Source organism: Homo sapiens, chromosome 16, assembly GCF_000001405.40.
Source record: "Homo sapiens chromosome 16, GRCh38.p14 Primary Assembly".
Taxonomy (NCBI): Eukaryota; Metazoa; Chordata; class Mammalia; order Primates; family Hominidae; genus Homo; species Homo sapiens.
This window is the reverse complement of record NC_000016.10, coordinates 34,354,540-34,381,482: the sequence shown is the minus strand read 5'-3', so window position 1 is coordinate 34,381,482 and position 26,943 is coordinate 34,354,540. Positions and strand designations below refer to the sequence as shown.

Below are 26,943 nucleotides of genomic sequence, written 5' to 3'. Positions count from 1 at the left end.
CAGGGCAACCTCCTTCAGTTGGTGGGAAGCGGTGGGAGGAGGAGGAGCTCCATCTGTGCTCTCTTCTCCGCAGTCACAACTCTCAGGCTTGTTGCATCTAGACCCATTCTAAATAAACCAAGCAGATTCCCAAGGGACCCTTGCAGACAAGTCAGCTCAGGGGAGGCGGCTGAGGCGGGGTGCGGGCTGCTAGTGGGGTGCAGCCCCATAGCCGGGGCTGGCCCTGCCAGCGTGCCTTTCCTGGGAAGAGGTGGAAGTGCTGAGCTCTGCAGACTTGGAAGCAAGGGAAGGCCCAAGCTGCTGGAGAGGAGCCGGGCTACCCCATGGGGATAGCCCACGCTGAGCTATTGCTTGGGCACCAACGCCAGCCTCAAGCGGGGCCAGCGCAGGAGGTCTGGGGAGCTGTCCTGCAGCGCTGACATCTATGAGGCAGCGTCAAGCAAAGGTGTAGGCCAAGGCAGAGAGGAGCGGAGGCGCCGCAGATGGAACATGCTGCTCCCTGATGCCAGCCCCAAGCAAAGCCAGCGCAGGGTGCTGTGGGCGGAACCGCCCTGCAGCTATAACCTCACGGAGGCAGAGGTGGCAGTAAAAAAAAAAAAAAATCCCCACACCCCACTGCTGTGGAGCCTGCCCAGTCGGATTTCGGAGCCCGCGAGGGCCATGACCTGCAACACATCAGTGACCAGGAGATGCCCAAAAGTAAGGAGGCGACTGATAGTGTTTGCCCTCAGGTGAGCCTCTGGCAGCCGCTGTCCCAAGGTCCCCCCAGAGGCATCCACAGCCTCGGACTCCTCCCTCCTGCCCCTAGCCAGGTTTCCTAGGCCCAGGCACCAGGCAGGAGGACTGGCCTTGCCTCGTGCCTACGTCCCCCACCTCCCCCCTGCAACCAATTTTTTTTCCCTGTAGCATCTGGTGGTTTCTCTCCTCCTCCCTACCCCAGTGCCCAGTTCTGGCCCCTTTCTCATCCCCCAAGGCTAGGCAGAAACTAAGTTTTCAAAATAGAAAATGTATGCTACAGATTTCATTGCTATAGAGGAAGTGTCTTACAGCTCTTCTGTTTAAACATTGGTTGACCTCTTAATTTATTTAAACGTTTGAATAATTAAGCTTCATGATGAATGTGGCTTTGTTGCTGGAAAGTACTGTACTCTCGGAATATTAAAAAATCGTGAAAGAATGAACAAAGATAGTATGTGAATGAATTGTACCTTTATACACAAAGCATGCAAGTACTTGTGAAAGTTTTTCCTCGTTTGGTGGTGTAAGGTAGGCCTCGGAGTGGTTTTACACACTAGGTAGTAGATGGGTAGTGTTGGATGAGAGCCCAAAATAGACTCTTTATATCATTCTTTAGGATTTACAACACATTTTCATGTACGTCTCATGTATCACCCTGTCTCTACAAAAAAAAAGGGTTAAAAATTAGCCAGGTATGGTGGCTTGCACCCATAGTCTCAGCTGCAAGAGGATATTTTGAGCCCAGGAGTTTGAAGCTTCAGTGAGCTATGCTGGCTCCATCGCACCATTGCATCACTCCAGCCTGGGCAACAGAGTGAGACCCTGTCTCTTTAAAAAATTGTTTTTTTGCCCAAAACAGCTCTTTATTTTAACATATTTGCTATATTGAGCCGGTGTCTGACAGTAATTGACCACAGCATCACTTGCTGCTTGAGACTTTCCCTGAAATGCGCTGGTAATAGCAGCATAGAGGAGGGTGGGTATATTTGATAAGTAGAAGGAGGAGGGCGTGTGTATGATTCATCTAAAAGTGGCATCAGTTTATTTAGGTGCAAGTTCTAAAATGAAGTCCCAGACACAGCCTGGTTTTATTCCACATACGTGGAGAACTTCTGTGATTTTTGCATTCTCCAGTAGAATTGGGACATTGTGGCCTTTATTTTCTTTACATTTATCACTAAAAACTTTTCTCAAGACTCTTAAAAGTGATTAAAATGGATGTGTAGCTTTAAAAAGAATCTTTTCTACTCACTTAAATTATCACATTTTTCCTTCTTCCTCTACAGATTTTGCTTCTGACTGTCCAGGGGAAAGCACACTCTTCCTGAGAAAATATCAAATGAGTGGTAAGACAATATTGTTTCTTCCTCCAAGCAAAAAACTACAAACTTTCTGTTTCATGTATTACAGAAAGTATTTAGAGGAACTCAGATATTAGTTAAAAAAATTTCAACTTTTTATATATTTACTTGTCTTATTTTAATATGTGACATAATTTCCTTTAGTTGACACTGTTCATGGAAACATGCAGGCTTTATGTCTCCACGTTTGATGACATTTTTATCAATGCAATTAATTGGCCACATGATTTGGTGTAGTAGTCATGGATGTATGCCTTTTTCTTCATACATCTTTCCCATTTTTCCCTTGCTCCAAAGAGTACATGTTAATGATGAGTGATAAGATTTAGGCTACAGCTTGGAGTTCACTTGAACAAATCAAAAGAATCTGTTGTTCTAGATTGGATCCGTGATTTTGGCCTCCTTTTTACACAGTGCTCTAACCGCATGAGCCTGTCACATCCATGTTCATGCTACTCAGAACTTTTTCATTCGAATGTAATGGAAATGTAAACATGGCCTGTGCTGTTTTCCAGGTTAGCCTTAGTGTGTGAAACTAGTGTAAAGTTTCCACATCCTGCTTGTTTTAGGATGAGAATTAGAACTGTAGGAGTTTTCTGTACTCCTGCTTATTTTTTTGTAACATTCTGCTAAATCTTACTGTTTTTTCAAAAAAGCCATACACCATGTTTTTCAGTTGTTTTCAACAGCAAGAATACAAGAAGTGGGGTTTCTATAATAACATCTGAAGTAATGCAGCACAATAAAAAATGGGTTTCTCCCCTGCATTTTCATAGTTTGTATGGACTTTGCCTGTCTCAAGCTGGTAACTTCTGGTTAGGATTGTTGTATTTCTCAGTTTCTTCCAGAGCCATGGGCTTCTCACACATAGAGTGTATGGAAGTGGAAGAAAACCTACCCCATGCCCCTGTCTCTTCAGCAGTGAGAAATGTGTGTCAGTGAGACCAGCTCAACTTCAAAGAAGGAGGCATTGTAGGGAACAAAGTGTGGCCCAAGTCCCCCTTGTAGCTTTTATTCTTTGGACCTGTATTAGAATGAAATGATTTTGTGTCCTGAGGATACCAAGTTCATTTAGGTTGGCACACTCATGTTAACATTTGAGTTAAGCTAGGCTACTTTTCAGTTGTGTAAAGACCTGTTTATTTTTTCAGTAACATATTAGTAGACGACCGATCAGTCATTGGATGCTTGCAGGGATTCTAGTGCATCTAAAGACTGGCTCCTGGCCAGAAACTGGTTCTTAGAGCTGTCAGCTATTAGATCTTGGTAATGAAAGTAAGCTATGTGTAAATGTAGAATCAGAAAACACTACTGCTTAGGGGTTCAGATATACAATAGGTAAATTTTTTATTAGCTAAATTTCTCATCTGTCCTGTATTTTGGCATTTCTATGAAGGAATACCTGAGACTGGATAATTTATAAAAAAAGAGGCTTTATTGGCTCACGGTTCTACAGGCTGTACAGGAAGTGTGGTGCTAGCATCTGCTTCTGGCAAGGGCTTCAAGAAACTAATAATCATGGTGGAAGGTGAAGTCATCTCTCACATGGTGAGAGGAGGAGCAAGAGAGAGTGGGAGGTGCCGCCTTCTTTTAAACAAGCAGATCAGGCCAGGTGTGGTGGCTCATGCCTGTAACCCCAGCACTTTGGGAGGCTGAGGCAGGCAGATCACTTGAGGCTGGAGTCTGAGACCAGCCTTGGCCAACATAGTGAGACCCTGTCTCTACAAAAAATTTAAAAATTAGCCAGGTGTGGTGGTTCGTGCTTGCAGCCCCAGCTACTCCGCAGGCTAAGGTGGGAGGATCACTTGAGCCCAGGAGGTCAAGGTTGCAGTGAACCATAATCATGGCACTGTGCTCCAGCCTGGGCATCAGAGTGAGACCCCATCTCAGAACAACCACCACAACAACAACAAAAACCCAAGAAGATCATGTATGAACTCAGAGCAGGAACTCCCTCATCACCAAGGGGATGGCGCTAAGCCATTCATGAGGGATCTGCCCCCGTGATCCAAACACTTCCCCACCTCCAACACTGGGGACTACATTTCAACATGAGATTTGGAGGGCATACACGTTGCCTAATTTGTTTTGCCTTTCCTTGTGTACATGGGGATTCTTTCATTTTTGTGTAATAGAACATCTGTTAGGTCAAAAATAAAACTATATTTTTAGATTTTACTTTATGCCGGATTATTTAAATGATAACTTTTGTTGGTAAGAATTTTTTAAAATGGAATTTTATCTCATTTTATATAGTGATAATCAGATGATTAGCAACTACTTTTATTCTATGGTATTTATACCAGAATTGATTAGTTATTTTTTCATTCTTAGTGCAAGAAAAGAGGAGCAGCTCTCACCTATATTATGTAAGTAAACTTTTGAAAAGTTAAGAAATTGATTGTTTGAATTAAAAGTCTGTCATGATTCCTTAAAAATTTAACAGGGAGCCGGTGCTGTTAGTGTGATCCTTTTCTGATGGACTTTCTAAATCTCTTCTATTTTCCTAAGTATCAGATTTATACAGGAAAGTCTGTAGCTTACTGTGCCCATTTTTAAGGGTGATTGTGATATTATATCACAATTTGGTTGTGATATAAATATCTGCCTTAAATATTTAATCTTTTGTATTCAAATAAAATTAAAAATAGCTGAGTCTACTTTCTCCAACACTTTCTCCTGACTTCCTGTCATAGCAGGTGAAAGCGTAGCTTCCTCACTCCACTGTGACCTTATTTCCCTCCCCGTTTCTTCCACCTGTAACCCATTTTTTATTAAATCACTAATTGATATTTACATGATTATGACTATGCACATATTATTCACTGCTGAGTCATGTAGTGTTCTGACTGTGCCTCCTCCTTGTGCATCCTTCATTGTTTCTCTTAAATATTTCTGAAATCTGAACACTTCTGCACTTCTCCCAGATAATCCCCCTTTTCCTAGCCCATGATAGCTCATAAAGCCAAATACGACCATTAGCCCCCAGCTGGCCTCTTTGTTTTCACCTCCTTCATTATTTTGTGTGTGGAATTAATTTTCTGACTATGTTCCTTTGCCTCTTTTTTAACAGCTATTCTTCCCCAAGTGGTGTAACATTTGTCACATGCCTATCAAAAATAATGTTTTATTTACTAAAACATATGTTCTGTGTTTTTTCTTGAAGGAACTTTCCTTGGCCTTTGGTTATCCTCCTCCAGGATAGACTGTGTTTCCCTAGGCTGCCCTGGGCCTGTTTCCCTGGGAGCCCTCTCTGAACTCTTATGCGCCCACTCATGTTGGATCCCTGAGTCCTAGACTGTGCATTGCCCTCTGCCTTGTGTTACTCCCCAGTGGTGCTGGAGCACAGTTTCTGAGGAAAGGCTCATGGACACACATGTATAGAGATCTAGCCTCTCTCCAAACCCTTCTTTTGTTATAGAGTATAAAATTCTAGAGTGAAAACTAAGTTTCATGGCTCTGAAGACATTTCCCTATTGTGTTTTCATTATACTGTACTTGAAACTATTGCCATTGTGTGATACATCATATGTAACCAATTTTTACATTTTTGAGCTTTTTAAGACCTTCTGTATTCCTGGGATTCGGAAATTGTATAATACAGCTTTGTGGGGACCTTTTATTTTATTGCAGCCATTAAGTCTGCAGACTATCTCTTTTAGAGAATTGTCCTATATTCTCTGTTTTATTATTATTTTAGTATTCTTATGATTCAAATGTTCGGCCTCTTATAGCAGTATTTCTGCATTGATCTTTAATTTCTTCCCCTCCTATTTTCCAATTTGTCTTTTGTTCTGCTTCTTAGAGATTCTTTGACTTTCTGCGCTAACCCTTCTATTGAATTTTTAAAATCTCCTTAAGGGTATTTTAAGATTTTTTTAAAAAGTTTTGCTCCTTAATTTTTACTGGTCCCAGAATTCCTTTTTCCTGTTGTTTTGATCTCTCATTGGAGGCTTCCCTGAGATGTGTGGTAGTCTTTGCCTTTCTCTATTTGGAAGCAGGACCTTTGTTCACTGAGGGGTCTCATTGTGGGGATTTGGAGGTCAAGCCAGCTTTTCTTTTGGGGAAACTCAGTGTATTATATGTGGGTATTTTCTTTGCAATGGTTTAGTTTTCTTCCAAGGAGGATCTCCCAGTTTTCTGCCTGGGCAGTGCAAGCACGGCTGCTGGCTTTCTAGAAGCAGGGTTGGGAAGGAAGGTGCAGTTTCACTTTGTGTGTGCAATTTATTCCCATTTCCCAGGTTTTAGCCCTAGTAGTTCTGAGCCCAGAAACCCTCAGGTATAAAATATCCAGAGAATACACATCCAAATTCCTTCTAAGATGGGAAGAGAGGTGGACTTGGGGCTCTAAGCACAGATTTACAGTTGACCTTGCTGGCTTCAGTTGTATATTTCACCCTACCTTCCCAGGTACCATGTGCCTCTGATTTTGGAGCCTGAGTTGGGTTCTTCAAAACAAAGAAGATCACTTGTTTCTGTTCAAGTCACTCCCTGTCAGCTCCAAAGTTGTGCTTCCATGTCAGTTGCAACTCCTCTATCAGCTTTTCACCTTGCATCATTGACTCAGAATGATCTGCCATCAATCTTGTCTCCTGGTCCTGTGTATAATGTTTATTTTATGAATAATACTAATGAGATTTCAGAAGGAAGAGAAAATAAATTTCTGGTCAATCCATCATATTTAATGATTTAACCCATATATAAGTGTAAATCTAAGTTTAAATTCAACATAATTATGACATTAATTCAGACAATTTCTATTTATACTTACAATAAGCACATAACACTTTTCCACTCAGGCCTTGTGTAAGAATTCTATTCAAACTCCATACATGCCATGTGGTCCCATTGCTGTGCAACATAGATGGAGCTGTTTTTGTTAGTACACAAAATGTTATAAATTTTTAAGTTAGCTAAAAGTCATTAATTATTTTAAAAATATCTGAAAGATGTCTCTTAAAAAAATGGGGAGAAAAAAGTGATCTTGAGAGCTGAGCATGGTGGCTCACACCTGTATCCCAGCACTTTGAGAGGCTGAGGCAGGCAGATCACTTGAGGCCAGGAGTTTGAGACCAGCATGGCCGACATGGTGAAACCCCATCTCTACTAAAAATACAAAAATTAGCCCGGCATGATGGCACATGCCTGTATTTCCAGCTACACAGGAGGCCAAGGCAGGAGAATTGGTTGAACTTGGGAGGCGGCGGTTGCAGTAAGCTGAGTTCAGGCCACTGCACTCCAGGGTGGGAAACACAGCAAGACTTCCTCAAAGCGCGCACACACACACACACACACACACACACACACACACACCCCAATATATGTTCATTATATGAGATTTTAAATAGAACAAAATGGGGACAGGTATCACCTAAAGCTGTACCAGCTAGTCTGCGTTTTGGTGCGTTTTTTTTTCTGTTCTTTTTATTCTCATATATGGATTTTTTCTCAGAATTGACTTTTGTTACCGCGTAGTATTATGCTGTATTACCCCTAATAGTGGTGACCTTAAGGGATACTTTCTTTCACTTTGAATGAAAGTATCTGAGTGAGTCCATTTTTATTTTTCATGCTATTTTTGTTTTTTCAGGCAATAAAAGTATGTACATTGACATACATACACTGTTAATGTAAAGTATATACATTAATAGAATAGCTTAAGAGACATAAGAGTTTAGCTAGAGTTAAAACATTTCTACCTTGAAGGAGAATTTGGTCCTTCAAATAGTAATATTGTTCAAAAACATCTGGGATTTTTGTTAAGAAGTAAGTGAATTTACAGTGAAAAGCATCTGAAACAAGCAAAATGGTGTTAGACTGTATGGATATTTCTGATTATTGGCTACAGGCAATTTTTAAATACTGTGTACTTTTAGAAACAACTGCTAGATCTCCTCCCTACCCTGTCTTTCATGTACTTGTGGGAGACCCTGATGGAAGAGTGTGATAACATGATGCAGACAAGCATATCCCAATAGGAAGAAGGAAGGCTCATGTGAGTTATTTTTTTAAAAGCTAAAATAATTGGTATTTTGTGGTTTTAAATAATGCTGTTGATCTCTTCAACCATTTGGTGACTAGGATTTGGTTACTGCCATTATTTTTAAGAAAGAGCATTTTTTTTTAAGACAGAGTCTTGCTCTGTCACACAGGCTGGAATGCAGTGGCATGATCTCGGCTCACTGCAACCTCTGTTTCCCAGGTTCAAGCAATTCTCTGTCTCAGCTTCCTGAGTAGCTGAGATTACACGCACCCACCACCACACCTGGCTAATTTTTGTATTTTTAGTAGACACGGGGTTTCACCATCTTGGCCAGGCTGGTCTTGAACTCCGGGCCTCATGATCCACCTGCCTCAGCCTCCCAAAGGGCTGGGATTACCGGAGTGAGCCACTGTGCCCGGCCAGGAAGAGCATTTTTTTAAACATAGATGAGGCAGTTTCCATATTGACTGTTGCACCCTCGACAAATGAATAGATACTTTTAAAGTGTTTTATAAATAGTTTATTTTCTAGAGGGCTCAAAAGGTTCACTGTCACCTCTCTGATAGCACTGCAGATAAATTTCACCAATTTGTAACTGTAGGAAGATTTACCTTCCAAATTGTAACTGATTTAAATAACTTGTCAAGCACTTATTGAACTCCTTAATTTCTCCCACATTCTGTGCTCAGCAGCTGCAGGTAGGAGAGGAAGGACCCTCCCTCCCCTGGAGAGGCTTTCTTTTTCACCAGGGGGATGCTTTGCAGGCAATTGCTATCATGTAACACACGGTGAATTAGACTGACGAGTACACAAAACCGGAAATGTTTTGTGGTGTGGCTGCTGGCAGAGGCATCCCGGAAGGCAGAGGAGGTGAAGCTTGCTGGGATAAGGAGGAAAGAAATAGGTATTCTGGGCAGAGAGCAGCATGACTGAGGCAGGACAGTGCCATGATGTGTGTCAAATTACTTACAGAATAAAATCAATCAACTTTTGAAATGAATGCAAAGTATTCTCGGAAGTTCTCATTTGAGTAATGTAATAGCAGTCTTATGTAAACACGAAGTGAAAGTTAAATTCCTGAAGTGGTTTTCCTCATCTGATTTTCAAATGTGAGAGTCTTAAAGTAGTACTTTTTCTATCTTCCCCCAAGGAAACAGGCCCAGAGAAACCCATGGCCCCTCAATTGTTTGGTCACTGAGCAGCCCTGGCACACAGAATCTCTGACTCTAAAATTCTGATTCCATCACACTGTCTCTTGAATGAGTATATTTAGGATTAGTAATTTAGTGAATGTAGTATTAGGTCTTTATTTACTGCAATAAAAATGCTGTTGTGCCAATATTATTTAATGTATGACATTTTGTTGTAGTTAATGAATAATAGAAATAGAAAATCTCAGCTGCTTTTTACTGCATAATAAAAAACCATGAAATCTTACTTTAAACTTTTCCCATTATTTATAAAGGGAATTCATAATAGAGGCTTCCTGGGTTTGACGATTGGTATCATAGCAAGGGCAGCATTTTATAACCCATTCCTCGAACATCATCTGCAGAAGTTAAGCACCTCCAATGAGTTTCCCATAGAGCTGCTCACAATACCACACTCAGGCAGGTCATGGGGTATAAAAAATACCTTAATGCTTTATTATTTGACATTTTGACTAAGGAAAAAAGCCCACACTTTTGTAGGTTCAGCCTACTGTGACATTTTTCTCTATCTTCCTTCTCCTTCAGATACCTCCATGGCATCTTGATAGAAAATACGGCTCATGTTCCACCATATTGCTAGATAACAGCACAGCCAGCCAGCCTGACCTTAGACATACATTAGAAAGGTGAGTAAAACGAGGCTGCCAAGGGCTGAGTGACAGACCCCCATATGCTAAAAGCATCACAGCCATCCTCTGTCATTTCAGCCATTTGGTTGCCCTTTTCAGCAAGCAGTTTAAGAAGTTGATGTCAATGATATATGGATTTCTGGGACCTAAATATGAATTTTCTGTTTCTCTTTTAACCTTAGATGCTGTGTGGTAGAAGGGAAAGCCAGATAGCAAATAAGCAATCCCAGAAAAAGAGTAGCTATTTATTTGATGCATTTATGTTATGACAGTGTTGAACCTAATGGGAAGGAGAGGTGCTTTTTATTGAAAGTTTCTGGGAAAAATTATTAGTTCTTTACAGGCCAAAGACGATGGGTAATACTTTGGAAACTACTCTTGAAAGAAGGAACAGCTTGTCCTCCAGTGGTGCCATAGTATATCTGCATTTACATTTTGCCATCATGCATGAGCACTTCATAGGCCACAATCAGAAATGCCTTTTCAAAACACCCTTGGACGATGGGTTCAAGTTTATTTAAAAAGTCACAACAAAGCCCAGTTCCATTGAGGCATCCAGGGAACATTATTAACATCTCCTTAGATTACGAGCATTGATTTTTGGGAAAACAGTTTGAGAACTACTACCTTAGCATGTTAATGTCCTTATCCCTAACTTAACTTTCCAGTCTATAAACATGACTAGCTTACAAGCTTAATTTTGTTTCTAATGTACTAGCTTTTTAAGCTAATTTGTCAGTAACTTCTACTTTAATTAAAAATGATAAACTTACACTCATAATAATGTCACTTTCCTCTCTCCTGTGTAACAATTATTGAGATCAAATTGTGTTTCATCAGGAACTGGACTCCACCTGTGTCTAAAGCCCTGAGTTTTGGCCTCTATGGAGTCATCACCTAATGTTTGTATTCAGCCCTAAGTAAAAAGGCACTCTGTTTTGGCTAGAGTCCCTGGTTTCTTATGATTTCAAAAGATTCTGATGTTTCAGTATGCAATTCAAAAGTAGTTTTTAAGCTTCACCTTGCTCAAACAAGTAGAGGTTCTGCTTTTTCTTCCAGCATAGTCTAATTCTTACAAGTTGTTTTAAAATAGATTATTTTTTTCTTTTTTAGAGATGGGGTTTTGCTGTGTTGGCCAGGCTGGTCTCAAACTCCTGGTCTCAAGCAATCCACCCAACTCAGCCTCCCAAAGTGCTATGATTACAGGCATGAGCTACCACGCCTGGCCTGGAAGTCTATTTTTGAAATACAGTTAGTTTTAATTTGCTCTCAAATTTTAGAAGGGATCATTTGGTATATTTACTTTTATGAAATAAAGATTTACTGAGCAAATTAATAGAGCAAATTGGCTTTCAGAAAGATTTTCAAAAATGTTTTCCATGGTTAGTAGTCCATTGTACTCAAAGGCATGAGTGAGCCATATTAGAATCACTTATACCTGTTTCTTCAAAATATATCTCTGCAAACACATGCATCTTCCCAGCTCCACATTCCCTCCATCTCTGGCACTCACAAGCCTTTTAGAAAAATGGTTAAGTATGTGAGGCATCATTATATGGATAAAAGCATCCCAGATGATTCTGACCTTAACCCTAACTCAGTCATTCTCAAACTTTGCAGCACATTGGATTCACCTGGGGATCTTTACCAACAACCCTGATGCCCAAATCATACACAATGCCAATTAAATCAGAATGTCTCCAGCTGGTGGTGAGGCTGTTTTTAAAGCTCCTTAGGTGGTCCAGTGTGCAGCAAACGTGGGGGCCACTGCTTCCTTTGCACGGAGGAGTGATGGTTCTAACGTATAAATTACATGTTTCCCTGTCATTTGCTCTTCTTTCTACTCATAGAGCCTTTCATCTGTGCAAGTCATTTCTATGTATGTGTGCATATGCTTAAATTTAAACCATACCACAGTGTTTTGTGAACTCCTGCAGTTCACAAAAGCACTATGTGGGGATCTTGGGCAAGTCAGTTTGAAGCCTTGGTTCTCTTATTTGTAAAATGGGTGGTTCATGGAGTGTCATGTAAGGTTCAGTGGCCTTTTCAGCATGTAACTTCAAATTCTGTGATTTTGAAATCAATTTGGAGATGGAACTGTTTGAGGCACTATAGAAATATCGATCTTAGATGCTAATAATGTTGTAAGGTCTACTTTTTACAACTCAAATTTGCCTTCTCAAATTATTCTGAGCCTCATTTTAAATGCTGAGGGCAAATGGAAGCACAGAACTTATCCAAGAGAAGCCCCTGTTTGCTGACACACACCATCTGAGGATGACTGAGGACCACAGTAACATACATCTGAAGAGTTGTATTTGTTCACTAATATTTTGTTTAAACGAATGTGGAAATACCTGTCATGAATATTGTATGATGCTGTGTTATGCTCTTTAGTGCTGCTTATTTCAGGATAGTTACAAGTGTCATCAATTTTTGTGTGCATTATATTTACTAATAAATTTTCTGTTAATAATTATGCAGAGGTGATTTTAAATTACTTTATTTGGTATAAAGCACAATCATTGTGTGCTTTTAGGGAACTAATGATAAATGGGTGAGTAGGCGATGGAGAACTAAATCAGCTGAAATGCAGGGCCTAGCCACTTAACAAGCAAAACACTACTATATGGCCTAAATGTAAGCTTATGTACACATAGATGTAAGTGACTTGCACAGGATGAAAGGTTCTATGGGTAGAATAGCAAATGACAGGGAAAATATGTAATTATTTATATATAATAACCATCAGCAGAAACATCTTCTAACAGCATATTGCCTAGCATTTTGGTTCTCCTATTTTCACTATAAAGCCAGAGAGCTAAAACAAAAGAAAAGTGCTCATATGGTACTGTTTTGAACAAGAGGATTTCAGGGCCACTGAGAGAATTCCTCCTCCCCCTTTTAAAAACATGTATTCAGGCCTAACCAATGATAAAATCAGTTCTTACAAATATATTTTTTCCCTCCACAGTGTGGCTTTGGCAATATATTACAACATAAAGCACAGGTGAGCTCTTTGAAAACCTGCCTTGTTATTCCAGCTCATCACTTTGTATAATATGAAACATGCTGTTAGGTCATAACTATAGACATAAGCTGTAGAGTGCTTACTTTACAGTATTAAAGTGAATCATTTGTGGGTTTTTTGGTCTGTAAGACTCTTTTAACTCTTAAATTATTGAGGGTCCCAAAGTGTATTTGTTTATGTCTTGTTTGCAATTTATTGTAAAGAAGAAATAAAAAGATGAACTAGCCTCATGCAAATGTGTAGTAGGAAAAATGTGTATTTTTAAAGCTTTCAGGTAATCGTGGGTATTCTTTAACCACACCAAAACTTCACAAGTGCTGACTTATTAAAATAGTTATAATGGGATTGTACATATCAATGAATTCATTCCACTAATACTCACTGATCTTTCTCATACCATAAATGGATCTCTCCACTTACTGTCTTTTATAATATTATGCATTGGCTATTTGGAAAATATTAATTCATGTTCATTGATAGTGTCAAAAACTCACTTTCATTAGTATCACCATGATTATAAAAATGTCTTCAAATATTGAGATGCCGTCAAGCTCACAGTAGTAGGTATGAGTTTTCCAAGTCCTGATTTTAGCTTGAAAGCTTTAGCTTTATTATAGACAACAAATACTTGTTATTTTCCTTGAAATGACAGACTCATTTGACTTCTTTTTGAGAATGACAGTCAGTCAAACTTTCAGATAGAAATGGTGTTCTGTTAAAAATTTGCTTGTTCAGCTCACAATTAAATCACAAGTGCTTTTCTTTAACATACCCATACTTCAGTATGCAGAAGTGGTTTATGTGAACTTCCTACTTTATTGGGGAAACCAGCCCCCAATATTTCAACGTAGGTTCTTTTCTATTTTCTTTAAGTGTCGGCCAGTCTGAGAAATAAAGAAAAAGAGTACAAAGAGAGGAATTTTACAGCTGGGCCTCCAGGGGTGTCATCACATATTGGTAGGACCGTGATGACGACCCTGAGCCGCAAAATCAGCAAGTTTTTATTAGGGATTTTAAAAGGGGAGGGGGTGTATGAACAGGGAGTAGCTCACAAGGATCACATGCTTCAAAAGGCAATAAAAGATCACAAGGTGAAGGCAAAATTAGAATTACTGATGAGGGTCTATGTCCTGCTGTGCATGCATTGTCTTGATAAACATCTTAACAGGAAACAGGGTTCAAGAACAGAGAAATGGTCTGACTAGAATTTACCAGGCTGGAATTTCCCAATCCTAGTAAGCTTGAGGGCGCTGCAGGAGACCAGCACGTATTTCAGTCCTTATCTCAACCGCATCAGACAGACACTCCCAGAGCGGCCATCCATAGACCTCCCCCCAGGAATGCATTTCTTCCCCAGGGTTATTCCTTGCTGGGAAAAGAATTCAGCAATATTTCTCCTACTCGCACATCCATTCATAGGCTTTCTGCAAGAAGAAAAATATGGCTGTATTCTGCCCAACCCCACAGGCAGTCAGACCTTATGGTTATCTTCCCTTGTTCCCTTAAATCGTTGTTATTCTGTTCTTTTTCAAGGTGCACTGATTTCATACTGTTCAAACACACGTTTACAGTCAATTTGTACAATAGTGGTCCTGAGGTGATGTACATTGTCAGCTTATGGAGATAATGGGATTAAGAGATTAAAGTAAAGACAGGCATAAGAAATTATAAGAGTATTACTAGAGAAGTGATAAATGTCCATGAAATCTTTACAATTTATGTTCAGAGATTGCAGAAAAGACAGGCATAAGAAATTATAAAAGTATTAATTTTGGGAACTGATAAATGTCCATGAAATCTTCACAGTTTATGTTCTTCTGCCTTGGCTCCAGCTGGTCCCTCTGTTCGGGGTCCCTGACTTCCTGCACCACTACTTAGAATACTTAAAAGAGAGTTCAGGACTTAATAACACCATTAATTTTTACTGTTTCATCAAGGATATTCTTAAGTGAAGCAGGATATTTTAATAAAAACTGCAAGGGGGAGTGAAGAGTGTAATGAATACTAGTATAATTTGGTACCACAGCCCTTATTCTTACTGAGAAACAAGAAGTTTTACCCACTTTTGCTTTTATGCAATCATTACAAGTGTTGAACAGTGAAAAAGCAAGCAATGTCTTAATACTTTTAGAAAGTAATAAATTATGTTTTATTTTCAATCAGCTTCTCAGGTTGAATTAGTATTCTTATAAGAACATTTTGGGCCATAGGTGGTGGTTGACACCTGTAATTCCTGCACTTTGGGAGGCCAAGGTGGGAGAATTATTTGGGACCAGGAGTTTGAGACTAGCCTGAGTAATGTGGCAAGACCCCATCTATACCAAAAAAGAATTAAAAATTAGCTGGGCATGGTGGTGTGCACATTTCATCCCAGCTCCATGGGAGGCTGAGGCAGGAGGATCGCTTGAGCCCAGGGAGTCAAGCCTGCAGTGAGCCATGTTTGTACCACTGTGCTCCATCCTGGGTGAAAGAGCAAAACCCTGTCTCAAAAAAAAGAACTTTTGACATCATGGGCCTCCTAGGGAATCTCAGGGATCCTCAAACCACATTTGGAGAACCACTGGTTTCCTAAATGAGCATACAATGTGTTAGTTTTTTAAAGTTCATTAAGACTGGCCTCTTTTAAAATAAAAAGGCAATTAAGTTTGTAACTCAAACTACTTAAACAAATATGATAAACATGTAATAAAGGAAGATTTGGTAAATCTGAATCTCATTCACATTTATTACAAGTTATAAGTTTATTGCCAACCACTACTGCTTTATAAAATGCTCTTGCGTTCCAGCATGTGGTTAGAGGAGTGAAAATAGATATAGTTTATTACCATTGCCTGTTAGCGGGGGTCAATATTTAAAGGCAAGTCTGGCTCATCAATGTAGAAAAGACTTCACAGTTCACGACATAGTGTGCTGAAGAAAAACAGGTCAAGAAACCCTCTGAAGGCCAGGATCCAGGAGAAAAATTTGCAAAAACTCTTTTGATGAACAAATTTTACCAAAGCAAACAAGAGGTATCTCTCTCCACCCTCCATGCCCTACTCCCAAGCAGATATTTTACTAAGATATTAACAATTCCCGAATTAATTTCTTGAATGCACGTTCTTATTTTATAGATATGCAAATAGATCTCTGGCTATTTTTGAAGAGCCAGTACATCCACTTCCAGTAAGTGTTGCTTTATTTGAGGTTCTATTTTTGTCTCATAGAGTTATATTTAGTTCATGCTGAAGTCAGACTCACCCACCTTTAAGTCTTCCCTCTGTTGTGTCTAATCATCTTATATAAGGAGTGTTGTAAAGTGGGCACACTGGAGTAAGAGCTGACTTGCAGCTTTGCTTAATTAGTGTGCTAAGGGGAGTAAATATACCATCCAAATAACAAAATGTGTCATTTAAAAAATAATTTTCTATAGCAGCAAACAATATAAATATTTGTAAATAGTCCTAACAAATATGCACAACTTCTGTAAATAGAATTAGAAAACAATTTAAATCAGTTTAAATGCTACAAAAATTTAAAAACTTCCTTCTTCAGATATATGATAGCCACAGGTCCACCTTAGGGCCTATGTTTACAGAAAACCAAAAATATTTTAATATCCTTCTGTTTATATTTTTAAAATAAAAAGACATTTTATCTCATCAAAATTGTTGTAAGGGACACATGGGCACAAATGTGAACACTGCCATCTTAAGAGTTCTTAAAAAGTTTCCTTGAGTGGATATTTATATTGCCTTTTTTCTTCTTTCAGCAAGAGAAGCTTCCAGGGAAATCCTTCAAGCATGATCCCAAACGCAACTGTATTTTCAGACATTTCTGTACTCTTTTTCAAGTCATAAAACTAACAGCTCCATGTGCAATTGTAGCTTTGGTAAGATATTTCTTATTTATAAAGCATCTTTAACAACTGGTCTCCTACACAGCGTATGGCCATGTTTCTAACTAAAAGTAGATTCCTGAAATTATCATCAGATCTTTTAAGAGAAACCTGTGCAAGCCATTAAATACACATATTTGAGTTGAATCATCATTATGGTTTAAAATGATGCCATTGCTTTTCTTATCACAGAATAATTGCTATTAAAGGCAGCAGGAGAGATTTCTGGTTTCTTCCTCAACAGATTCCAATGTAGATCTAAGCTGAGTCCCAGGCCATATTCCCCGGGCACTTCTGATGCATGCTGTGACTGGGAGCTGCTGCTCTGAATGCTTTGTTGTTCCTGCTGACCTCTTGTGCCTGCTCCAGAAATTGCCCAGGAACGTGGTACCAGGAAGACTTGGACACAGGCTTTGCTAGGTAGCCTGCTAAGCCATAGCTGTGTCCTTACATCTACATCATTCTCACAGAATTCCTGTGGTGAGACTCATTCTGAATATGAAGCCCTTTTCAGATGGCTGGGATTGATTTACCCCTCCCCACACTAACCTGTAGAGGAGTGTCAACCATGCAGCCAGGAGAGAAAAGATACTTAGAACAGTAGTACCCTCTCCTTTAGCATCTGGCTAGAGCTTAGAAGAGATGGCTTCTGCTAGGCACCTGCATAGAAATCCCTCCATGGGCATTGGATCAGGTGCAGTCCTCTTCATGGAGCTGCAGGCCATTTGGAATGCTCAGCACATGCTGGCAGGAAGCAGAAGTGGAACTTCCAGCTAGAGAGAGAGAGCTGACACAGGAGGGAAAGCTGGATTGGAAGAAGGGGGAGTTCACTGTAGACAGGCTAAATTTGGTGTGCCTGTAAGATAGCAGAGTGGCCGTGTACAGTCAATATTTGTATCTATGGGACTGGACCATGAATCTGAACTGGAAATAAGGAATAAGGAGTAAGAGTACCTGCTCAAGGCTGGGCACAGTGGCTCACACCTGTAATCCCAGCACTTTGGGAGGCTGAAGCAGGCGGATCACCTAAGATCAGGAGTTTGAGAGCAGCCTGACCAACATGGTGAAACCCTGTCTCTACTAAAAAATACAAAAAATTCGCTGGGTGTCATGGTTGGCGCCTGTAATCCCAGCTATTCGGGAGGCTGAGGCAAGAGAATCACTTGAACCCAGGAGGTGGAGGTTGCAGTAAGCCAAGATCACACCACTGCACTTCAGCCTGGTCAACGAGAGTGAAACTCTGTCTAAAAAAAAAGAGAGTAGCTGCTCAAATGCAGAGAAAGTGTTTAGAATGAAAGTGGAGAAGCCGGGCATGGTGGGGACACACCTATAGTCCCATCTGCTTGGGAGGCTGAGGCAGGAGAATCAGTTGAAATCAGGAGTTTGTGTCCAGCCTGGGCAACATAGCAAGTCCCCATCTCTAAAAAGGAAAAGAAAAGAAGGTGGACAGAAGATAGCTGTGTAAGGACTACCAGCATGTAAGGGACAAGCCCCCAGTAAAGTGGCTAGAGTGGGAGGAGGAAGAGCAGGAGAGGATAATAAAAGAAGAGCAAAGGGGTCAAGATAGGAAAGGCTGTGGTCACAGGGCTAAATGCTGCCAAGAAGTTGTCCGTTCCATAAACACCCCCTGCATGCCGACCCTGTCCCATTCTTCTAAGTGCTGGGGTAGAGAAGAGGACAGGTTGAACACAGTCCTTGTCTTTATGTGCTCATGTTGCAATGAGGAAAGCATTTTTTTAGGTTATGGAAAATAGCAAAACGATAAAGCAGGATAAAGACAGAGTGATGAGAGGGGCTCATTATTTCAAATAGAATGATCAGGAAGAGCATCTCTAGAGAGGTCACATTTGAACAGTGACCTGACTATAAAGCGAGGACGATAAGAAGTGCTGGCATGACAGGAAGTAGGATGAGTGCTGAGACTGAGACAGAAACACATTTCATGTGTGTTCAAGGAACAAACACCAGGGGGCCCACGTGGTGAGAGGAATGAAGGAAAGAATGGAAGAGATGAGGCTGCACAGGCAGTGCGACAGCTCACAGAGCCCTTTGGCTTGCAGGCCATGGGAAGAAGCTCAGGTTTTATTCCAGTTTGATGGGGGCGCTCATGGTAGATCTTGAGGAGGGGAGTGCAGTGTTCTTAATTTAAGAGGTTATGGTGACGGCTTTGGGGAGAGTAGACCACAGTTGGGAGGAAGGTTGGGGCAGAGAAGATTACCAAGAAGCAAATAGGGTGATATAGGTGAGCCGTGACACATGGCGGCTCAGAATCTGAAGCAGGCAGCCTACCAGTGAAGGTAGGCATAGAGGGAGTGCACACAGATTGAAACAGGGTAACTCACATTTAAGTGTTAGTCCCCAGGAGCTAGGCCAATGGCAATTCCCTGGACAAGATTAGGGCCAGCTTGGAGAGTGGAGCCTTGGGGTGAAGGGCTCTGGTTTGTAAGTGTCAAGACTCTGAGGACCTTTGCAAGAGGAGTCTGAGGCGAGTGATGGGGGTGGGTGAGGTGGGTTAAGGAGAGATGGGAGGTGAGGAGCTGGCAACAGGGCCTGATGCTGTGAGCAAATTGAGAGGATGCCTCTGGGAAGCTGTGGGGAGCAGGATGGGAACAGGAAACACGTTCATATTGGGGGAAATCTCTGGCAGAGAGGGAGAAAGGCTTCAAGAAGAGGTGATTTGGGGAACAGTGTTCTGCAAAAGTGGGATGGGATCCACTGTGCTGATAGAAGAGTTGGTGTTAAAAAAGGAGCTTTCTCACTGACCCAGGAGGGCAAGTGGTTTCGGTGAGTGTCAGCAGGTCCAGCTTACCAGTAAAGGTGACAGGAAGTTGAGGGCTTGCCAATGCTGTTTAAGTGCTCTCTAATGAGTGCTGTGGAGTTGAACCCTGGGAGGGAGGGTCATTCCTGGGATACTCAATAGTGCAGAGTTAGGGGGAAAGGGAGCAGAATCTCTCATAAGAACATATCATGTTCAAGAGCCATTTGATTTTGAAAACACAGTTGAGTTTGGAGAACATTGCCATATCTGAGCCGCCAATCTGATAACCTTCAGACAATAAATGAACTCTCTTAAAATGAACTGTTTTCCTTTGATCTTGATACAAAGATGTCAAGTAGCATAGAGACATACTCTTCTGCAGAGCACCCTCTGGGATAGCAACGCCTCACCGCTCACCTCTGTAACCTCCACTCAGCTGGTCCCTCACCAAGTTCTTTATAGGATAGAGATTGGATAGATAGAAAATACTTTCTGAGATTGTCTCACAAACTGCTTGGCATGTTGAGAGGAACCCCAGGGATACAGAGGCCGACAGCTGTCTCTGCCTAAAACCCAACTGAATTGACTGAATGCAGATACTATAGAACAAGAAATGAGTTTTCTTGAAGAGATTGTGGAGACGTGGAACATAGGGGCTGTGAGCAGGACCCTCCTTTCATACTCATGTGTTCCTTATCAAGCACTGAATACGGAGATTATTTCTCAGCCACAGAGACCTGTGCTTGTCATGCTGTCTGCATGGCAGGCATTGGGAAGTGACCTTGATCTGCAGTTCCTCAGCTGGTGTCCCAAGAGCGGGTTAGTTATTGTGAAAAGGAGAAGACAGCAGTGTTCTCAGTATCACTTGAGTGTTACATATTCAAGCATGGTATACCTGTAAAATTCCTATCTACCTGCCAGCCAGGCATGATGCTGCACACAGACAGCACTGGAGTGTTTCCTGAACAACCTTAATCTGCACTGGGCCTGAATTTGTGCTGCCTTTAATGAGTGTGAAGGTGCTGATGGTGCCTCTCTTCATGCCCGCAGAGATGTCCAGTCCTCCCTGTGACCAAAATTGGGCTGGAAATGTCTATAGGCAGAGTAGGCTGCAGAGGTATCTGACTATGACTGTGATTTGGCCTCTTGCTTTGTCTGAGCAAAGTCTCTGCAGAACATAAGAATAAAAGGCACTTACTTTCTGGTCAAAACCGGAAGAAATCTTTCATTTTTAAATGTTCGTATCACCACACTTAAGCTGAACTGAAATCAAAGAGCAGTGCTCTATTTTGCAGGTATACATCAAACGACTTCTAACTAGTGCTAACATCGATCTTTGTCCTACTAATTGGAAGAAGATTGTCCTTGGAACCATGCTTCTTGCCTCCAAGGTTTGGAGAAATCATGGTCTGTGGAGTGTGGATGACAGCCAGAATTCCAAGGACACTGCAGTTGAGAACATGTGAGTTTGTAAGGTTTTGGTGAACTGTGTAACCAATTTCCATACCTCATTTGCTCTCCAAGTTAACCCTGTAAACAATATCTTTATAGGTTTCATCGTGCAGATAAAGGAAATAGGCATAAGACCACAGACTTCTCTCTATCCAGCTTTAGTATAACAGTTTATATTTTTTGGCATTCATGGGTAGGTCTTGATGTGTTATTGTTGTAATAACCTCCTGGATAAACTGAAAAGCATTTTTCTGATTGTTTTTTGGCAAACCTCTTACAAGTGTACTATTAGAATGACACAGTACAATAAATATCTTTATAGCTTTTTAGAAGCTATCTGCCAGTTTCAGTCCCTTTTTAAGGGACAAACATTTGGCCTTTGAAATAATTGGCCACTGTTAAGGTCTTAAGGACTCTGGACTATGGAGAAGTTATAGCTTCAACCTAAGTCACCCTTTGTATAGTTGCCTTTGCTGGTCCTTTCCTCCCCATTTTATCTGAAGATCTGTTTTTATAGGAACCTTGAGATATGAAGTTAAATAGCCACAGATTCCTGTGCCCTGGCCCCTCCCCATTGGGAGTGTTGCATGTGTTTGGAAATTAACCTGATGAGTTAGAAGCTCCAACGTTCGCCTCCTGCAGTGTGAGAAGCATTTCTGGGGCATCTCCCCATGCCCACCACACTCACAAAGCTCCATGGGTACTCAGACATCCGCAGCAGCATGCTGGGGTCTGGAGTTGCCCATGAGAGTGCAAGGAGTCTTGTGGAGTCATGGGGTTCCTCCCAGATGCACCAACATGACACTGAAACGCAGCTTCACCAGGGCTCCCTTCCAATCTGACCTCATGACTGCTGTGAAGGGAAGGGACCTGCAGCTGGCAGGCAGGGAGAGCAGGGAGGCATTTCCAGCAGAGCCTTCCTGGGTGCCTGCTCGACAGTGAGGACAGCTGTGCAGGCTGCATCTGTGCAAGACAAGGGAGCAGCCCTTGTTCACACTGAGCAGCAGCAGCAGATCAAGATCATGCCAGGCATGGGACAAGTTAGTTTTGTGACCTTTGTCCATGACTCCAGATAATACTGTCATTCTGAATCACCTCAGTGTATGTCTGCAATTGAAGATATAGTGTCTGTTGTAGGTATACCTCAGTGTATATCTACATTTAAAAATGAGCCCTTTGCGGCTGAGCTCAGTGGCTCATGCCTGTTATCCCAGCACTTCAGGAGGCTGAGGTGAGTGGATCACTTGAGCTCAGGAGTTGAAGACCTGCTGGGTAACACAGTGAACCCTGTCTGTACAGTTTTTTTAAAAAAATTAGCCGGGCATGGTGGCAGGCAGCTGTAGTAGTCCTAGCTACCTGGGAGTTTGAGGTGGGAGAATTGCCTGAGCCTGGGAAGTTGAGGCTGTAGTGAACTGTGATCACATCACTGCACACCAGCCCTGGGTGATGGAGCCAGACCTTGTCTCAAAAAGAAAAACAAAAATCTACTTTTGCCACCACTTTGCCAATAGTGTAAACCAAGTGATCATGGTGATATTTCTGGTAGCCATTTTAGCAAAGAGTGTGACCGCAAATGAATTTGAAACTAACGGAAATACTTTGGATGTTGCAAACACTAAGGTGGCCTTGATCATAGTCATCCATTTGTAAACTGGTTCCTCAAAGGAAGCAAGATTTGTGACTGCCCAACTTCTCCTTGCCTGCTGCCTAGTCAGCGCTGATTTATTAAGACAGGCAAATTGCAATAGAGAAAGAGTTTAGTTCATGCAGAGGCAGCTGTACGGGAGACCAGAGTTTTACTATTACTCAAATTAGTCTCTCTGAAAACTCTGGGATGGTTTTTTAAAGAATAATTTGGTGGGTAGGGGGTCAGAAAGTGGTGAGTGCTGATTGATCAGATCAGAGATGGAATCACAGAGAGTTGAAGCTGTCCTCCTGCACTGAGATGGCTCCTGGGTGGGGGCCACAAAACCAGATGAGCCAAGTTTATTGCTTGGAGTGGTGCCACCTTTGCCCAGCACAGGGCCTGCAAAATATCTCAAGCACTGATCTTAGGTTTTACAATAGTGATATTATTCCCAGGAGAAATATGGGGAGGTTCAGACTCTTGCAGCCTTCAGCCGCATGACTCCTAAACCATAATTTCTAATCTTGTGGCTAATTTGTTAGTCCTGGAAAGGCAGGCTAGTCCCCAGGCAGGAAGCGGGTTTGTTTTGGGAAAGGGCTGCTACTGTCTTTGTTTCAAAATTAAACTATAAACTAAGTTCATCCTAAAGTTAGTTTGGCCTCTGCCTAGGAATGAACAAGGACACCTTGGAGGTTAGAAGCAAGATGAAGTCAGATCAGCTCTCTTTCACTGTCACGATTTTCTTAGTTACAATTTTTGCAAAGGCGGCTTCAAATTTGTAATCATGAACACTTAGTTCTACCATCATGGCAGCTGAATTGTTCTCAAAACCTGCAGCTCAGCTGGCTGGGGCTCTGAGTTCTAGTCACAAGATCAGAGAGCATGCAGGGATATGTGCAGGTTTCCACAGAAGTGAGCTCCAGGAGCAGTGGGGCAGAGCCTAGCTCCAAGAAGACCGGTTCCAAACAGTGCTGTTGGTGTGTGAATGGTGAAACACCAGGAGCTATGCTCCAAGAAGGCTGCTTCTGTTTATGATCTTGGGAATTTGAAAAGCATTACATCAAAGTGTTTATAGACATTTGTTTCAGCCCCCTGCTGTTGACTCTTTGCAATGGTCCCGTTTTGAGTGTAAATGTAACAGTTAAAAAATTGGTGTTGATCAGATTTTTCTTAAAACTTTCCAATATCCCCACATGGCACATGTATACATATGTAACAAACCTGCACGTTGTGCACATGTACCCTAAAACTTAAAGTATAATAATAATAAAATAAAAAAACTTTCCAATATCTATGTGTCTCCCTAGAATATTTCCTTTCTAAAGAGTAAGTTAAACTAAGTAGCTGCTATTTGGAAAATTTGCTGTGTCTGTAAAGGGTATGCTATTCAATCATCTAGCCATTTAAAAGAAACCACAAAGCCCAGAAGATGCATATTCTATACACAGAATGATTTTCTTCAGGATTAAATTTCTATTAATATGTTAATTCTGTGAAGTACTGTATTTCTACACGGTTACAACGTACTAATGGAGAAAATAAAAAGGGATAGTGAAGTGCCTTTAATTCCTGTCATAAGTCTAGTCCTGATTAGCTATCTATTCATATATTATTTGAATTATATATATAATTTGAATTATATATATAATTGAATTATATATATATTTGAATTATATATAATTAAATTATATATATAATTTAATTATATATAATTGAATTATATATATAATTTTATATATATTATATATAATTCAAATATATAAATATATGAAATAATATTCATATTTATTTGAATTATATATATATAATTCGAATTATATATATATAATTCAAATATATATATTTACATTTCTATGGACTTATGGACATTTGAACAGAAAATTAATTTTGGAAGTAGGTTCAGCTGGGTTTTAAGTTCAGCAAATGAGATCACCTCATTTTGGCTCGTGGTCTAACTGCCCCCCTTACAGGAGAACATCAAGCATTTGTTGACTTAGCCAGTGGGTAAAATATTAAAACTTTCAAACCAAGAAACCAAATATATTGTTTAGATAGTGATCATTTTTAAGCAATTAACTCATTACAGGGGTTACTCTGAAAGCAGCCAGATTTACTCTAACTGTGTACCTATTAATTTAGCCTTGGTGAGGGCGGCTGGATGACCGTGTGGCAGAGGACGGCTCCCAGCCCTTTAGTCTCCCACTGCATTCAACTCCCCCACATCCCGTTCTGGCCAGGGGTGACAGATGCTGAGCGCTTCACGGTTGCATTCCCAACTCAGGAGCAACACCGCATGTGTAAGGCCAGGGCCCTTCTAGAAATCACATCGTAAAATGGGTTTAGTCTAGCCAAAATGTCTCTCCTTGATTTTTCTGCCTTTCAAACTTTAAAGAATATCCTTGTCCTGTCACAGTGGCAGTTTCAACTCTTCATAATACTAAGGTGAGCAGAAACTTGTGTTATGCCCCTTTGACATAGCCTTGTGGGCTGGAGCAGAGGGAAGGGGATTCTTTTTGCCATGGAATGTAGCTTGCTTACGTAATTATTTGGGATGAATCCTTCTTGTAGCCTTAGAGTTTTTCCTCCTCTGAGATAATAGGGTGGCTCTCCATGGGTCCATTTGTTGCTGTGGTGATGCACCCAGTCCTCTTGTTGGTGCTTCTCTACTTCAGTAAGCCCCTTCCTGTTATCGTCCTGGTAAAAATGCCTGGAGGTACTAAAGAGCTAATAAATGACACCCATCATTCCTGTCATGTGATTGCTATTGCGTGTCTTGTGAGTGAGCATGGAGTTTGAGTTGTGCAGCTGCCCTAAGGGAACTCTGAAGAATGAGCCCCGATTCAGCAGCAGGAGTGCAGAAGAGGCTTCCACCTTTCCCTTATCCCAAACTTGGGGTGCTGGGATGCAGAAGAGCCCCAAGCAGCTGTGTCTTATTTGGACATTAGTGTAGGGACCTGATCATGCAGCCTTTATGTGTTTCAAAATAGAATTTAGAGCATCCTAGTAGCTCAGAATGATATTTTTAAAGATAACCCACTTGACTAGAATTGTCCTATGTTGGTTTTATTGTGTTTCTCCTCCCCCAGGAGCAAGATGGAGAAGTGTTTCTTGGAGCTACTTGAGTTTAATATTCATGTGTCTGCCAGTGTTTATGCAAAATATTACTTTGACCTGTGTGCCTTGGCAAATGACCATGACCTGTATTTTCTATTTAGCTTTCTTCACAAAGATAAAGCCCAGAAACTGGAGGTAAGGATGTGAAGTCACTTAGTGGAGTTTTCCATAGGCCACAAAAGCCAAAATCTGTTACAAAATCATATTAAGTAGTGATTTGGAAAATGAAAGCCTTAAAATTAACAGAGCAAAGAGCTTATTTCTTTGGCATCATATTTCTTATCTTTTATGGTCTATAGAAGGATCCATATTCTTAATTAATTAATTAATTAGTTTTTTTTGTTTTTTGAGACGGAGTTTCACTCTTTTTACCCAGGCTGGAGTGCAATCTCGGCCCACCACAACCTCTGCCTCCTGGGTTCAAGCAATTCTTCTGCCTCAGCCTCCCGAGTAGCTGGGATTACAGGCATATGCCACCACGACCAGCTAATTTTGTATTTTTAGTAGAGACTGGGTTTCACCATGTTGGTCAGGCTGGTCTCGAACTCCCGACCTCAGGTGATCTGCCCACCTTGGCCTCCCAAAGTGCTGGGATTACAGGCGTGAGCCACTGCGCCAGGCCAATGATCCATATTCTTAAAAATGTATTGATATTCTCTCTGCTATGACCATAATTCAGAATATTTTTAATTAAATTTAATCTGATTTTAATGGGCTTTGTTTTTAACCTCTATCCGTTCATACAACAATGCTTGAATAAATGCAATTGTATTCTTAATTATACCTATATACACAATGCAGTTACCACTCTTGACTGTCTTTTACTTACACAGTTTGCAAATTTATGTCATTGTCTACCGTATATATCACGGTGCAGTCCCATGAGTTTATTAGACAAAGCAGTAGTGGCTGAGAGACTTGTACTTAGACTGTATAAGGTGCCAGTGTTTCAAGTACTGGCTGTAGGAAGGACATGGGTTTTTAATGAAAATGGTAACTTTCATGGGGTAATGTAAGATTTATGGCTTCTGACCCTTGGTGAGTATACAGGAAAATTACAACTGAAATAGACATATATAAAATTGGCACTTTCTCTGGTATCTTGGTGATACTTTAGAATAATACATTTTTCTACCACAATGTGCATGTAAAGTAGCACCTT

The 26,943-nt window shown here is 40.9% G+C and overlaps 1 protein-coding gene across 6 annotated transcripts in view, besides 1 other annotated feature; it reads left to right on the top strand.

Moving 5' to 3' along the window:
* CCNYL1B (cyclin Y like 1B) overlaps positions 1–26,943 on the top strand; it is a 29,979-nt gene continuing 3,036 nt past the window's right edge. Inside the window, exons 1-9 of one of the 6 annotated variants that reach the window (XM_047435043.1) lie at positions 1–699; positions 2,025–2,084; positions 4,434–4,468; positions 9,819–9,919; positions 12,897–12,932; positions 16,067–16,118; positions 16,705–16,824; positions 20,884–21,050; positions 25,883–25,916. In XM_047435043.1, the coding sequence (XP_047290999.1) occupies positions 690–699; positions 2,025–2,084; positions 4,434–4,468; positions 9,819–9,919; positions 12,897–12,932; positions 16,067–16,118; positions 16,705–16,824; positions 20,884–21,050; positions 25,883–25,916 (615 nt within the window). In that variant the 5' untranslated portion in view covers positions 1–689. Of the gene's footprint in view, positions 732–2,024; positions 2,085–4,433; positions 4,469–7,975; positions 8,095–9,818; positions 9,920–12,896; positions 12,933–16,066; positions 16,119–16,704; positions 16,825–20,883; positions 21,051–23,336; positions 23,892–25,753; positions 25,917–26,943 lie in introns of those variants that run through there. The other 5 variants (XM_011546045.4, XM_047435042.1, XM_047435045.1 and 2 more) reach the window with 5 other exon arrangements.
* Positions 1–26,943: part of a sequence alteration artifact (region identified as an assembly artifact by the Genome Reference Consortium. This region falsely duplicates sequence located at GRCh38 chr16:34827082..35072498) that runs on past both edges of the window.